The 16,408-nt window shown below is 41.1% G+C and overlaps 1 protein-coding gene and 1 long non-coding RNA gene across 8 annotated transcripts in view; one reads left to right on the top strand and one right to left on the bottom strand.

The window, feature by feature from the left end:
* Window positions 1-16,408, bottom strand: part of HTR4 (5-hydroxytryptamine receptor 4) — a 203,496-nt gene that overhangs the window by 18,283 nt on the left and 168,805 nt on the right. For 2 of the 7 annotated variants that reach the window (NR_104445.2, NM_000870.7), the window contains one exon: window positions 12,233-13,979. The exons of 2 other annotated variants lie outside the window; for them this stretch is intronic. Coding sequence is in view for 4 of the 5 variants with exons in the window: in NM_000870.7 (NP_000861.1) it covers window positions 13,889-13,979 (91 nt within the window). In the remaining variant the exon portion in view is untranslated. Of the gene's footprint in view, window positions 1-7,321; window positions 7,432-12,155; window positions 13,980-14,945; window positions 15,066-16,408 lie in introns of those variants that run through there. 3 more of the 7 variants (NM_001040173.2, NM_001040172.2, NM_001286410.1) reach the window with 3 other exon arrangements.
* Window positions 1-16,408, top strand: part of LOC107986462 (uncharacterized) — a 107,158-nt gene that overhangs the window by 16,485 nt on the left and 74,265 nt on the right. The window lies entirely within an intron of this gene.

Genomic DNA, 16,408 nt, shown 5'->3' on the forward strand with positions numbered 1-16,408 from the left:
AGCTCACTCTAACGCTGTACCACTGTGATCTTAACTTTGTTTAAACATCAATCCTTGTGCACACTGTGCTTAAATGAGTCTTGCCATAGCCTTTGGCCTACACCAAATAATAAAACGGTTCTGATCTGACTACACAAGATCTGCTGTCAAAAATGTCTTGCCTCCTCACCTGAACATTTCCCCAGTCCAAAAGCTCTGCTTGTCGTAGTGGCAGTCTGAGTCCTGGCACATTCTGAAGCCAGCTCTGCAGCATAAACAATAAGTTCCTACACGGGGGTTGTGTTTGTTTGGTCAGAGCTTTATCCACTAGGCTTGGTCATCAGCAGTTGGCTGGTTACAAATGCAGTCCTGAGACCAAATGGCTGGAATCCAATTATCCCAGCTTCCTGTCTGCATAACCATGCCAGGGAGGAACATAGTCATGTTTGCCTGCCTTGTCAGGCTCCTAGGATGCAAAGTATATCATTTGGAGAAAACTAACAAACAACAGATCCTCAGATATTTTGATGGAGAGGCAGTATGATGTGGAAAGAGGACACATTGGTCCAGAATGCAAAATCTCTGGCGCTAGTCCACATTCCGCCTCTTCCTGGCTCAGTATCTAACTCTTCATTTCTCCAAGCTTCATTTTCTCATGTATCAGAGGGAGATCACAACAGCAACAACAGGGTGGTTGGGAGCTTCTAGTGAGATGATGTACGTGAAAGAGCTTTGAAAATTATAATGATGATAATGGTGATGGTGATGGTGATGACAACAGCAATGATAGCTGACAGTTATTGAGAACCTATTGTGAGAAGGGCACTGTCCTATTTGTTTGATGGTCACTATCTTATTTAATATTCACAAGTATTTTTGAATAACTGATGACAGTGGTAACGGTGCTATTAATAAAGATAGCTAACATTTCTTAAATATTTACTATATATAAGCCTCCTTTTTCAGCATTTTAAGCATATTAACATATGCAGCTTCCCATCATGTAAAATAAGTGCTATTATCATCTCTACTTGACATATGAGGAAAATTAGATACAGAAGTTTGGCAATTTGCTCAAGATCATACTGACGGTAAGAGGCCATAAGGATTCAAATGCAGGCATTCTGACTATAGAATAGGAGTTGCCAACTTTTTTAGAGTTAGCAAACTTTTTCTGTGAAGGGCTAGATGTAAGTATTTTAGGCCTTGAAGCCACATAGAGTCTTTGTTGCATATTCTTTTTTGCTTTCCTTGTTTTCCTGTTTGATTGTTGTTATTTGTTTTTATACCCCTTTACAAATGCAGAAAACATTTTTAGCTCAAGGATCACACAAAAAAACACACATATGGCTGAACTTGGCCCACAGAGCTGTAGTTTGCTAACTCTTGCTCTAGAAGTAATTTCTTTTTTTTGAGATGGAGTCTCGTTCTGCTGCCCAGGCTAGAGTGCAGTGGCAAAATCTCAGCTCACTGCAACATCCACCTCCCAGATTCAAGCGATTTTCCTGCCTCAGCCTCCCAAGTAGCTGGGATTACAGGCACCCACCACCATGACCAGCTAATTTTTGTATTTTTAGTAGAGACGGGGTTTCACCATGTTGACCAGGCTGGTCTTGAACTCCTGACCTCAAATGATCTGCTCCTTTCAGCATCCCAAAGTGCTGGGATTACAGGCATGAGCCACTGTGGGCCCAGCCTCTAAAAGTAATTTCTATTTTACAGATAAGAAAACTAAAGATCAAAAGCTTCAGGAATTTAACTAAGGCCATTCAATAAGTGCTGAAATCAGGATCTGAATCCAGTTTTGCTTACTTTCAAAAATTGTGTCAACCCACACTACACTGTCTCCGTGTATGCTGTTAAAATGTAGGATATTATTACTGAGTTAGGGATACTGTACTTTCTCCAGTCAATTTTCAAATTGAATATAGTTTCTCCTCTTGGAACAGACTTGGGGGCTAGATAGCAGGCTGAGAGCTAGCCGACCCCATGCCTAGTACAATGCCTGACACATAGCAGGCATATAATACATAACTCCCTGTTGAGTGAAATAATTCTGATTTCTGATTGAATTCAATCATTCCCCAATATCTCAGCCATTTTCCCAGACTCTTCTGTATTTTGCATTTGAATCATGCCTTCCTTGTAAAGGAAGGCAATAATATATTCCTTAATCCAGTTTCTAGGGAACCTGGAACAATTTATGAGATAATTTCCATAGAACTATGTGGAGGAAAGAAAGATGTTATACGTAGAAATATTATTTTTACAATGAGTCATTGTGCTCACAAAAATGGCACTAGAAGACTGTACTTATGACTTCTAAATAAATACATCACTAACCACAGGCAGGAAAATAGGGAGAACCTAGTGACTTTATTATAAATCACTATTGTTGTATCCACCAATACAGATTCACATTAAAGCAGGGATTTTAATTGTTATTTAACGTTGGATTTTTATTTCAGGGAATAAATGAACTTCTTAGAAATGTGGCAAAAATTGTGTGCATATGTCCAGATTTTTAGGGAAAAGATCATGGATTTCATCAGACTCTCAAAAGGATTTTTTATGCCCTAAATGTTAGCACTACAGTAGAATTGTTTCAGTGTAGTTTACCTTTGATGAGAAAAAGGGAAACACAAAAAGTTGCTGGTGTGTGGTGATCAGTACTAGGTTTTCCAGGTGTCCCTGTCCGTGTGATGCTTTCTTATACTCTCAGGATACTCACATAGGGTTCCACTCACCAGTTTCCCACTGGCATAGGTGTCTGGGTCTGCAAACCGGTCTGGAAGATTAATCACAGTCCAGGCTGGCCACAGTGACCAGCATTCAGAGCACCCAACAGGGTATATGCAACCACAGAAGGTGGCAATACAGAGTCTCTTCCATTTTATCTTCAGCCCCAAGATCAGGCCCATAGAGACTGGCATAACAAGCCCTGAGTCTATTATTTTGCATTACTAGCACTTAGCACAATGCCTGGCACACAGTGGGTGTCTCCTTAAAGTTTGTTTAAATGAAAACAAGCAAAATGGTGAAATTGATAGCATTTTTTCCTTACATTCCTGAGATGGTTAATTAGGTTGTTTCATTTCTGTTATCTCCTGAGATACTCTATCTATATGGACCCACGTGTCTTTGCCAATTAGAGAATGACTTTTACCTTGTCCTGTTTTTTGCTGGTGGTGCTGGTGATGTTGGTGTTGGTATTGTTGTTTAGTTTTATGTGGAGATAGCTAATTTGGATGCTTCTCTTTGGTATGTAGGCCTGAGAACACCCAGGGAGATTATGGTTGTTGCCCCAGGGAACTATGTCCTGTGGAAAAATGTATTAAACAGGTCAGGGTAGGCTCCATTAGGTTTCATAGACAAGGTAGTCAATGAACTTGGCCTTGGTTTTAACTGGCAGGCGATGGAAGAAAAGCATGGTTAGCAGGGAGAAGTTGCACACAGCCTGAGAGCTGAAATAGGAAGTGGGAGTTGGCCCAGTTTTACTTATTGTACTCTGAATTGGGCACTGTGTTGTAGGAGTGGATGACATATTGATGAGAAACTGGGCACTACTACATAAAGTTTTTGAGTAGAGTTGCTGAATATAGAAAATTTTAGGAGGGCATAACTTTATTTTTTCTTTTTGTATTTATTGTTGTGTGTGTATGTGTGATTTTAAAAACATCAGCCTGATGGAATGTCCAGATGTAGAGGGAAAAAAGGTAGAAGAGGCTGGGCGCGGTGGCTTGTGCCTGTTATCCTAGCACTTTGGGAGGCCGAGGCGGGTGGATCACAAGGCCAGGAGATTGAGACCATCCTGACTAACATGGTGAAACCCCGTCTCTACTAAAAATACAAAAAATTAGCTGGGTGTGGTTGTGGGCGCCTGTAGTCCCAGCTACTCGGGAGGCTGAGGCAGGGGATGGCGTGAACGCAGAAGGCAGAGGTTGCATGCAGTGAGCCGAGATCGCGCCACTGCATTCCAGCCTGGGCAACAGAGCGAGACTCCATCTCAAAAAAAAAAAAAAAAAAGAGGTAGAAGATAGCCGTAGTTGTCCTCATATGAAGTGGTGAGTAGTGAAAGACTAGATAAGTTGTATCAAAGTAAGAGAATTTGAAGAATAAATGTAAGAGACTTGGAAGATTGGAAAATAAAAAATGACTTCCTACCTGGAATATTAGACAATCAGTAATAATAACAGTAATATCTTGAATTTGTTGCCCAGTCCTACATATTTTAGAATATAGTATCTTAGTGAATCTCACTGGTCTTACTACTTTTTGCCTGGCTTTCTGTTTTTTGTGACTAGATATTTCTCACCTATTAACATAATCACTATCGGTGTTTGTTCAGTGGCCATTGAACAAAATTGATTTATGTATCTCTCCTCTAACAGCGCAAAAACACTTGTCAAGTGAATGAATAAAATTTGGTGAGGTAGTCTAGGGCATCTGTTTCATGAGAAAGCTGAGACCCAGAAGGTAAGTGGCTTACCAGAATTTACCCAGCTAGTGAGCGGCAAAATGCAAGGTGGAATCACAATCCATGTCTTTTTTTTCCCATTATTCAGTAAAATCATCAGCTGTAATAGGAAGGTCTGAATAGCAAAGAAATGCCAGGAAATTAGAGAATAAATAGAGAATGCTCTCCACCGAGACGGCTACTATTAGATGAGACAGAATTCAAGAATGATTTTGGCCTTTTAGTCTTACAAGTTCAGTGTTTCCAGATGGTTCTGTGCTGAGGAGAGGAGATGCAATAATAAGAGTGACCCTGATAAGAGTACCCTTTCCTAGTTCCTTCCACTGACTCATATCCCTTGACCAACTGCCCACTCTCTAGCTGGCTGGGACAAGAGGTCCCACCAGAAATGGTGCCTCTGCTCAGCGAGCCAAGGCCTTTTCACTTGAAGTTACAGAACCCTGGCTTGGGTTCTCTTTCACAAAGCCTTAGTAGCTGATGACTCACGACCTTCCCAGCGGCAAGTTACTGAGAATGATAAAAAGCGATCGCTATAAGGCTTTGGAGAAAGAATGTGGGGGTGGTGTGGGGGGGCTGATCTTTATCCTGGCCAAGAATTTCATCATTAAGCAGTGGCATATGGGTCCCTATTTGTACCCTATTGACAGGAAGGCCATATACTGATGATTGCCATGCTAATTCAGGGAATGAAATGACGTAACCCCCCTAATGACATTCAATACGGAGAAAGACTAAATCGAAATTAAATTATCTGATCTCGACCAAGTTTTTAAAAGTACAGATAATGTCTGCCCTTTCATTCAGGACTCCAGACCAATTTAAATGACTATTCATCCAGGCTACTAGACTACCCTCACGTATTGTAAAATATCTTCTAATTTCAGAGGGAGTGTCTCTTTAAAGTTTGGTGGCATTACTTCTGTCTCTCACCTTCTAGGCAGCCAGAAAATTAGAGCATGGATTCTCAACATAGACAGATCTAGGTTTGTAGCCTGGCTCTGCTGTTTATAACTTGCATGACCTTCGGTTAGAAACGTAGTCTCGGCGGGTGGATTACCTAAGGTCAGGAGTTCAAGACCAGCCTGGGCAACACGGTGAAACCCCATCTCTATCAAAATACAAAAAATTAGCCGGGTGTGGAGGCGTGTGCCTGTAATCCCAGCTACTCGGGAGGCTGAGGCGGAGAATTGCTGGAACCCGGGAGGCAGAGGTTGCAGTGAGCCGAGATGGCGCCACTGCACTCCAGCCTGGATGACAGAGTGAGACTCCTTCTCCAAAAAAAAAAGTAGTCTCCTTAGGCCTCATTTTACTTACCCATAAAATGGGCATTATATACAATAATAATAAAAACAATAATAGAAACTACCAATTATCTCCCTGGCAGTGTGTTAATTGCTATCATAATTTTATTTAAATTATACAACCTCATGAGTTAGGTAGTGTTAATACCTCTATTTTTAGCAATACAGAAACTGAAGCTCAGAGAAATTAATTAAGGTGTCTGAAGAAGCAAATTTGCAAATTGGGAAGCAGGGATTCAATCCAGTCAAAATTTTTTTACGAGAATTAAATGTTACCAAATATGTGAAGTGTTTAGGTAGTCCTGACTATCTTATATGCTCAATAAAGTTGCATCCTTTTACTGTCTTAGAAGGTGAAGTGAGACTCTTGCTTGGGAGACACATTAATTGGAGAGGATTAAGAGGCATATTAGGAGTGTCATAAGAAGACACTGAATGACAAGTAGATACCATTTTCCATGCGTGCAGATTATGTTTCTTCTGTGACTCCACAGCCAAATCCTTTACCATCTCCATCTTCTCCTGAATAGTCCTCTTAGCCTTTGCCTTCTCAGATTAGACAACTGGCACAGAAACAATCACTGCCTGCCACTTCCACCACTTCCCCGCTCCTGGTTTCTCAACAACCCTTTCCATATGACTCCACATACTGCTTCTGAATTTCAAATGTCATGAAATTCAGAGTAATAATAGTAACAGCTACACTTCAGTGAGAGCTTACTGTATGCCAGAGACTGTGTGCCACTATTTATATGCTTTAACCCACTGACGCCTCATCACACTGGGTGGGGAATGTGCTATCATTATCCCCTTGCAAAGAAGAAACTGAAGCTCCAAGAGTTGAGGAACTTGCTTGTGTCACACATTCAGTAACTGGTAGACTCTAGATCTCAACTTATGTCCATGTAATGTCAAAGCCCAAGTTCCTAACCAAAGACAGTTTCTCAATTTACAAATGGCAAAACTTTAGGCAGAAAGGTGCAGAGACATTCCCAGCCACACAGCAAATTAGAAAGGATGCTGCTGAAAAATCTGACATTTTATGACATCTTTCAAAGATGCTTTGTTACACTCTAGCCTGAATAACTCTCACTGGGTCCATTCTACATCTCTGGCTCAGTTCATGCTTCATTTGCTCTATGTTGTCTCAATAGATGCCATTATTGGTGAAATGGAGGCCAATGTCCTCTAAGATTACACAATGTCAAGTAACTCACAAAACTTCAGTCCGCTTCATCACAACTTTCTATAAATACAAAACTTTAAGCTTAAGCCCTTTTTCAATAGACAGGACCAAAAGAGAAAATAAACTTGCCATAACTCGGTGATATAACGGTATTTTAAAACTCTAATCTTTCTGCCACTTGAAAGAGGTGTGATAAACATCTTGATTTTATTCAAAACTGTCACAGAAAGAGTTTTCTCTTATCAGAAGGCTGCAGCTTTTGAAGTGGGTGGAGTACTAATGGCAGAGCAGCACTGAGATTTGGGACTGAAGGGGCAAAGTGGGCTGGTACAGTGGAGATGCCGTAACAATGAAAAGCTTCACATTCTTCCAAACAAATACATCCAATGAATTTATTTGATAACTTCAGTGTACAAAAACCTGTGTTGGGCACTAAGAAAAAAAAATGAGCAATAAGAATTGGCCACAGTCCTCAAGGAGCTCAAAATCTGGTAGGAGAGATCAAAAAGAACGTAATTAATGAACCACACTGAAAAGCATATCAAAATGTCACAGGAGAAGAACAAATAAAATGTTTGGGGATTGGAATAGGTCAAAAACCTCATGCAGTCCTGGAGGCTGGAAAAGACTTCAGGTAGGAGGTGGTATTTGAAATACACTATGTAAGAGGTGCCAGGGGAATCATGCCCAGTGGAAAGAACGGCAGGAGTAGTAGCTGAATGTGCAAATCCGAAGAGTTGAGCATATTCTGGAAGAAAAACTCTAACAGTGGACTTACAGAAAGTATTGGTAGGCTATGAGGAGTCCTTGAGGGATTTTGATTGGGGAAATGGCATGCTGAAACTTATGTTTTAGAGCCTAATTCCCCAATCCAGATGAAAGATAATGTCAGTTGTAGAAAGGATGATGTCAGTAAGGATAGAGATAAGGAAATGCATGAGAAAGTCTACTGATTACATAGCCAGATTGATTTCCACTCATTTCTGATAAAATAATTTTTATCAAGAATCACTTTCTGGCTGGCCAATAATTGGCTTTTCCTTCCAATTAGATGCTATTTGGAACTAGCTAAATTGAAATCAATGAAGACCTACTGTATAAATGCATCTTTGTTTGCAGACAGCCAAAACTCCACGGAGAAACAAAGGGGCAAAGGGGAAAAGTGCACAAGAAGAGAATCCATCCATTTCAAGGATTGTTCTTGCTGCTAACAAGAACGGGCCTCAGGTGGATCAAGTCCCCTTAGATTTGGTGGAACCTGGGCTCCATTTCCAGCTGCAGGTAATTTCTGCATCCTTGGAAAAATTCCACATTAACTTCTCTGACGTACAGCCTGGTTTTCTGATCCCTGTGATAGGAAAATGATACTTACCTTAACAGGGTTAAATGAGGTGTCTCATGTAAAATGCTTTCACCAAGGCTGACATGTAGTAACTGGTAAATGGCACCAAAGCTACTGAATTATGATCAGCCTTTACTTATTTCTCTGATCCCATCTCCTACCACTTTTTTTTCGCATTAATTAGGCTGTACTGGCTATGTCAAGCACATTCCTGCCCTAGTGCATTTGTATTTGCTTTTCCCTTCGCCTGACTTGATATTCCCTCAGATCAAATATATGCCTGACTCCTTAGAATGCTTGTCCCCTGTCACAGAGCTCACCTCCTCCATCTAACCTTCCCTAACTACTTCATCTAAAACACCCCCTTGCCCATCTCTATTTTTTATTCTCTTTATAGCACATATCAGTATCTAAACTTGCCTTATTCATGTACATGTGTCTCCTTGTTTATTTTCTAGTTTCTGACAAGAGAGAGTAGAGACCTTGTCCGGTTTCTTTATTAGTAGACTTCTGGCAAGAGACCCTGCCTCATAGTCGGTGTTCAGAAAATCTCTTTTTCTCTGAATGCCATAGTGCTGTTGAGAGAATTAAACTATAGCAAATAGAAATCACCTAGCGCACAGTAAGTGCTAAATCAATACTAGTCTCTTCCCCTTAAATGAATCTAGAGATGCTCCAACATGGAACTAGGCGATTTGTAAAGAAATCAAGAAAGAGGACATTCTCCCAAGGGTAGGTTAGTTTGGAGGTGGATTCTGCAGGAGGTTCTGGGGTCTGGTAGCAGGTACTTCACAGCCGGTGAAGGCTTAGGTCTTCATTCTAGGAAGGAAGTTTCAGGAGACAGTGTGCTTTCTGAATGGAGGAAGAGATTTTCTAACGGGGAGGTGTGATTCTGAGGAAATGATTGTCACCTGGAAAAAATAGTTCATGGCAGTATTATGAACACCGCCTCAGAAAAGCTAAGGACAGGAGGTAAACAAGCACCAGCACAGAGGGTATTCCCTGGTCCAGCGATTGGGCTTTAGGCTCCCAAGAACATTCCATCCAGGGCATAGATTATAATAACCAGAGATGGGAGATCCAGACCTACCTATTCCCCGTCCTGCTTGAATCTTTTATGTGATGGAATTCCAGGTAGATTTGTGTATGAAGAAAGGATTCTGATGTGTAAACCTAATTCTTGTCCACCCCTGGCATTTTATATGTGAGAAGATAGGTCCCAAGAGGTAAACAAAAGAGCTAAGTCTATTTTACTCTGGACATTACTCTGTCTCCTGACTGCTGACAGGGTTCATTCCATTGTTCCACACTCAGAAGAGATGGGACCTAGATTTCATCACACATAACCTGGGCCTAAAGGAGATGAACTCCAGGCTCTTGGATGGCTCGTGACATGCCCCCTCCAGTTTTTTTTTTCTAAAGGCTTCAGCAGGGATGCACATGCTTAACCTCAATCCAAGACCTCCAGATATACATTGTCACACTGCCTTAAATGCCTCCTCGTGGTTTGTGCTCTGAGAGTAGCTGGACAGGATCCCCATCCTCTGCTCATTAGGTGACCATGTCATAGAGGTTTGTCTTATTGCTGGAGGCCTTGATGAAGGTGACAGACAGGCAGACAGGTAGAATCTGGTAAAATCACATTATCTAGGGGCCCGGGGCTACTAGCTTTCCTTTGAGAGGAACCTGGTACTGGAGTCAGAAAATTCTCTAGCTTCAAACGACATAGCTACTGGAGAATGCCCTGGGATCTTGGAGGTTACCGAGAAGCTCCACAAGACTGAGGCATGGGAGTTGACTTTGGCATTTTATTGCATATTCAAAATTCAGTTATTAGTTTTCAGACGCATTTTTCCTTGAATATATAATTTATATAAACATGTACAGAATGCACTCATATAAACATATGTATAATTTATCAATAAATATAATTTATCAATTAAAAAATCTATGTAGGCTCCAATTTTTTCCATAACACATTTCTGGGAACTGCATCAAAAAGTAGATGATCATAAAGCCAAAGATGCTTTCCATGTAAACAAAGTTAGAATCAAGGATTCTAGGACCTTCAAAGCCTTAGCTTCAAATAAATCATAGCTATAACTAACAATCTCATAAACCAAAAACACAACCATCATTACAATTTGTAATCCTTTGAAATTAGAGAATTAAGTTTCATGTTCTATGTGGTGGGCACACATGTACTTTATATGTTGATCACACAAGGGATCTCAGTGCATTATAAACTGTATAAGTGGCCCCTTTGTAATTCTACTTTATTAAAAATGTAAATAAAATTAAGTTGTTAGCTAAAATAGCATTAAACCACAATTAACAATCATATACATAGACTATCAGATCAGGAAAATTTTCAAAAGTTATCAGGTTCAATATCTTAGTTGACTCTTTATGTAGTATTCATGCTATCTGGTCATAGTCTGGTCCACGTTTGATTTTTTTCATAGGATTTGTATATATATAATTTATAGCATGGGGATGATTTTGATGGTCCAAGTATTTTCTTCTTCAAATACATTTTTTCATAGTGAACAAACATTTGAATCTTATTCCATGTTACTTTGAAGTTATATGAGAAGTTACGCTCATTATTATCAAAATTAGCCTGTAGTCCCTTACTTTGTGAATAACCAAATCCTTTTAAATGAGTTTCTGTGATTCATAAATTCGTGTGTTGGGCAACCTGAAATGACCAAATTAGGATGGGTGGATTTGGAAGAATTAATATCCAAAGGGTGCTTCTACAATTCCTAGAATTTTATTTATTTGTTTATTTAGTGAGATGGAGTCTCACTCTATTGCCCAGGCTGAAGTGCAGTGGTGCAATCTCAGCTTAATGCAGCCTCTGCCTCATGGATTTAAGCAATTCTCCTGCCTCAGTCTCCCAAGTAGTTGGGACTACAGGCAGATGCCACCATACTCGGCTAATTTTTGTAGCTTTAGTAGAGATCAAATTTCACCATGTTGGCCAGGCTCGAACTCCTGACCTCAAGTGATTCTCCCACCTGGGCCTCCCAAAGTGCTGGGAATACAGGAAGAATTAATACCCAAGGGGTGCTCCTAGAATATTATTTTTTTAACAAGGCTCTGGTTTGGCATTTACCTTCCTGCGAACTTTGCCCTGGGCATTTCTTTCTCTGTTTCTTTATCAACATAGAAACTTACTCTCTTAAGTTGGTTTACCTCCCGGTAAATAAATTCATAGTCCTCGAGTGCTCAGGCACATCCACAGTAATCCAAAACGCCCAAAGTAATGATAAATATGTGGAATGGCATTTTATGATTTACAGAATGTTTTCACAAAAAAATTATCTTATATCTCCACAACAACTTTGTGAAGTAGGCAAGAGAGATTCTCTCTGAGGTCTGAGACATTCAGGAATTAGTTCAATTTGCTTAATAAGTCAGCAATGGACCCAGTGCACGTGCTGCCTCTGTGCTGTACTCCTCCCACCAATGTGCTCATGCAGGCAATGGGTGGGTGTGTGGGCAGCCACAGCAGATTGGTTGGGTCTCATCATCAGGTCCAGAGCCATGGAGCCCAGAAGCTGGCTGCTCCCTTCTTCATATTAGAAAAGCACCTCAAAATGGTGCTTGCCTCCTAATGGTGGTTGCTGAGCCTAGTGATGGCAGGGGAACAATGACTTGAAAAATCAAAGGGGATTGGTCCAGCCACAGAGTCAGAGTCAGGGTGTAAGTTAGAATTTAAATAAACTTTCTTCATATGTGACAAGAATGGTTCCCTGGTTCAATCTGCTTCATTGATCAGGGAGAATCCCAGTCTACACAAAGAGCATTTCAGCATGGAGAGATATTTCTCACGAATTCTGAATAGCATTTCTCTTTCAGAGGCTATTTTCCTTCCCTAAAACATGACTTTCTCCCCAACAGAATTAAGTCTTCATAGGACAGAGAGGCTTTTTTTTTTCTTTTTCTTTTTGGCATTTGGATGGTTTGGTCAATCTTCTCTTCCTTATTCCAAAGTTTCTTCCTGTCGGTTTCAGTTCCAGAACTAAAGTAAACAACAATGGAAACAATAACTGACACCTTATAAGCAATAAGAAAAAAAGAGAATATGATAAATAATCCTGAGATGCTATTAAACCACAGCCAAGATCAAAGTCAGAATCTCACATGGCTCTGGGTTTGGCATTTACCTTCCCGGGACTTCTGCTATGGGGCATTCGCAAGAGCCACTGACTCAGCTTTGAATAAAAGACATCCAGATTAATCTGAAGGACAAAGCTGGAAAGGTCAGGGGTCTAAAAGGCCCAAATGAGGAGGGTCGTTCCTTTGAAACAAAGCCAAAAGGCAGGCAGGCCATGGCTTCTCGAGGTAGCAGACGGCTATAGCAGCATACTGTTGTCTTAGAAACAGAAAGAAAACTTAAAGGTCCTCTAGTCCAAGCTTGAGTGCACAGATGTGGAAAGTGGGGTCCAGAGATGAAAGAACACTATTCAAGATCTCACAGCTTGTTTGCAGCACAGCCAGGGCGGCAATTTGGGTCCTCTGGCTTCAAGTACAGCATTGCCTCGGCATCCCCAGTGCTGCTGGATCCTGCCCTCCTGCACCTTGGGGGAGCTGCAGGGGAAAATGAGTTTCCCCAGTGTGAACTTCCAACAGTTATCTCCTTTGGCAGCAACAAAGCCAGATTGAAGGGTTTCAAAATGATATCACAAGTTCATGGGAAAGATCCTGAAGCCTAATAAACACCTACGATGTTGCTAGCCCTGCCCAAGGCTTTTTAGAAGACGTCCCGTTCTAGCCCAGCAGGAGAGCGAGCATCTCAGGGCAGACACGCCAGCGGCCAGGACACCAGGAGGAAGCTATCTGTCTTCAGCTTCCCTCCAGAGTTGCTGTGGAGACCATTTTCCTCTGACAGATCTCTGACCCTGTGTCTTCCATGGAAAATAAATGGAGCATGTCCTGAAGAGGAGGACAGACATTGGACATAAGGAAGAGCAAGTGGACGTCTGGGACTGACAAGGGGGCCAACCAAGAGGATGCACGTTTGGACCCAGACACAGGGAGAAAAGTGTGTTAGCGTCTGGCACAGAACAGGGCGAAGAAGAGGCAGGGGATAGCTTGAACATGGCTGTGACGGACGTGACCAAGCAAGTAAGCAAGACAGGAGCGACGCCTCTGGCTAAGACAGGAACAGAGAGGGAGTATTTTGTTGATATCTGGAAGCCCACACAGCAAAGAAGGCGTATTTGGAGACATCAGTGACCGAGATAGGACGCAGCAAGCTATCGTGCTTAGAACGTGAGTGAGACAGATCAGACACAGTGAGTGACGGGAACATGTCAGAGACACCAGAGACCACGCGGCAAAAGCAGAGAATCTGGGAAGAGGGAGTGTTGGGAAATAAAAAGTGAACAAGGAGGCCATTATGTCCCCTGACTCCCTCCAGCGCCACCTGCTGGAATCTCAGAGGAAAAGCCCAGCGAGCACCGGGTTCCTGCACTGGCGGACGGAAAGCCTCAGGTGAAGAGAATACCGGGTGCAGTCGCGCACAAGCAGCAGCTTAGGACCTGGCCCTCTTTCGGAGGCATGGCTGTCTTCTGGGTCATTGTCCCAGGGGCCTAAGTGTCACTGGGCTGAGCAGCCACCAAAGGAGAAGTTGCTGGCGGGTGACACTGACTCTCCCACTGGCCACCACACTCCACTGCATCCCTAGAGAGAGGAGAAGATTACAGAACCTCAGAATTGGAAAGGATGTTGCAGATCATCTCCTGAAAGAGCCCACCTGCATGGCAGGAACACTCTGTGCCATGCAGATGAGTAGCTATTTGGCTTCTACTTAGGAATTTCCATTGACAGGCCAGTCCATATTAATTTTTGGCAATAATAACTATTAGAAATAGCCCATTAATGTTCAGCCAAAATCGGTGTCCATATGGCTTCTACCTGATGGACCTATTACGCCTATCAGGCCCCCTCAACATTGTGCCCTCTACCGATTATATCCTCCAAGTTTTCTCTACTCCAAGCTACACATTCCGATTTTCTTTAATAGTTCATTATATATTATAGTTTCCAGATTATTCCCCATAATGGGCACTGTCCTTTGAACACCTCTCTTGAATTATGGTACTAGGAAAGTGCACAAATTTTCGCAGGGAGCCTGACTTACATCATGTGCTTTTCATCATCAATTGGGTTTATTTCTATTAATGTAGTCAAATTCAGTTCATTTCTAAAAATGGTAATAAGTTATTGGCGTATATTGAGCTTGCTGCCAACTTTGATCGTTTTTGATACAACAACTGTCAATTCCTGAGGTTCTTTATTACATTGCTGCCTAGTTGATTTTATTATTTATTTATTTATTTATTTATTTATTTATTTATTTATTTATTTGAGCCAAAATATAAACCATCACATTTTACTCAGTTAAACTTTGTTATATCGGTTTGGTATCACTTTAGTCAGCTGAGATCATTCTAAATCATAGCAATTTTAACATTCAAGATATGATTATTTAGCACCCACTCAAACTAGACCTTAAGTTTTTTGCAAGCACATAGGAAGATCAAATAATCTACAATGGTAGATATTTCAGTTTAGTGTCATCTGCCTTTTAGTTTTTCAGGCAAGGTAAAAAATGTTGAGCAAGATAAAACAGAGAATCATAGTTACCCCAAGACAGGCTTCCTTGCAGTCAAACATCTAATGCTCAATGTGCCTGAGAATGGACCCGCTCTGGCAGGCTTTGTCCAATACCTTGCTAAAATGTCTCTGTCAAACAGAAAATCTGTCCTAGCAGATAAAGAAATTATTTGGCATGAATTATTATACAACAGTGAATCTTACTTACACAAGCTATGAGTCTATGGTTTCTGGAGATTAGCTTTAGTGTTTCTTGAAAAATTGGGGCAATATTTACTATCTCCAGGCTTCCACCTATTCCCCAGTCCTAGAAGAAGTTCATTCGGACTTGTTAGCAACAAGTTTTTTTTAAGCCCCTGAGATATGACACATCTTGGCTCAGAGAGAGTTAAATGCTTTCCATCAATCCTGGACAGCAACTTTCTCCCTAAAATGTTCTCTTCTTTCCAGTTGGAAGTCTATTCTTATTATAGCAGAATATGCAAGATTTCTTCCCTAAATAATGAAATCTAACTATTTCTGGGTTAGATCTGAACATAGCTCTGAACATAGCTTTTGTTCATCCTTGATTCATCCTTGGTTATATGTTCCTTCCTCCAGATTTTCCACATGCCATTTTAAAGTGTAAACTCTCTAGATAACTCAAGATGTGCCCTCAGGCCTTTACATACTCCCTTACATTTTTATCTGTCTGATTCATTGAATATATCTATTTAGAGAAAAAACAATGAATGAAAAAGAAGGAATGAAGGTTAAAAAGGAAGGAAGGAGAGAAGGAAGAAAGGGAAGGAGGAAGGAAGGAAGAAGGAAAGGAAGGAAAGAAGGAAGGGAAAGAGGGAGAGAGGGAAGAAAGAAAATAAGAATTTCTCATCTCTCATTGGCCAAATCCCCTTTGTATCATATTTGTTATTATTGTCATTATTAGCAACGATAAAAACAACCACCTATTAGTGCAGCACTGGTGTGCCAGGCATTGGGCTGAATGCAGTATGTGCCTTAATTCATGTATTACACCCATTTAACAGGCAAGGAAACTGAGCTTCAGGGAGCATAAGTAATTTGCCCAAGTATACACAGTTAATAAATGACAGGGTCAGACCTTACATTTAAGTCATTTTTGACACCAGCACCTGTGCTAGTAACTGTTCTACTGTATTGTCATTCATCATTTTGACAACTACCACTATGGATACAGTATTTAGGTCTCGCTGTCTCTAGCATTTCTTTGTCCCACTATGGCAGACTCCTGGGTGAAATGAATATGTAGAGGGGTGCATGTTATAAATGTTCCACCTGTGAGAAACCTGCAGTGTGATGTGGCATTTCCATTTATTGCAACACAATATGACTGTGACACTAACATGAGACTCTTTCCTGCTAACTCCATCTGACCATTAAAGAAGAGTCATTGCCAAGTGGAACCCCATGTTTTCTGTGACGTAGAACTAGGGAGACTAGGTGTAAAGGGGGAAAAAATCCTGTGAAGGTAGGAG

Source organism: Homo sapiens, chromosome 5 (assembly GCF_000001405.40).
Source record: "Homo sapiens chromosome 5, GRCh38.p14 Primary Assembly".
NCBI lineage: Eukaryota > Metazoa > Chordata > Mammalia > Primates > Hominidae > Homo > Homo sapiens.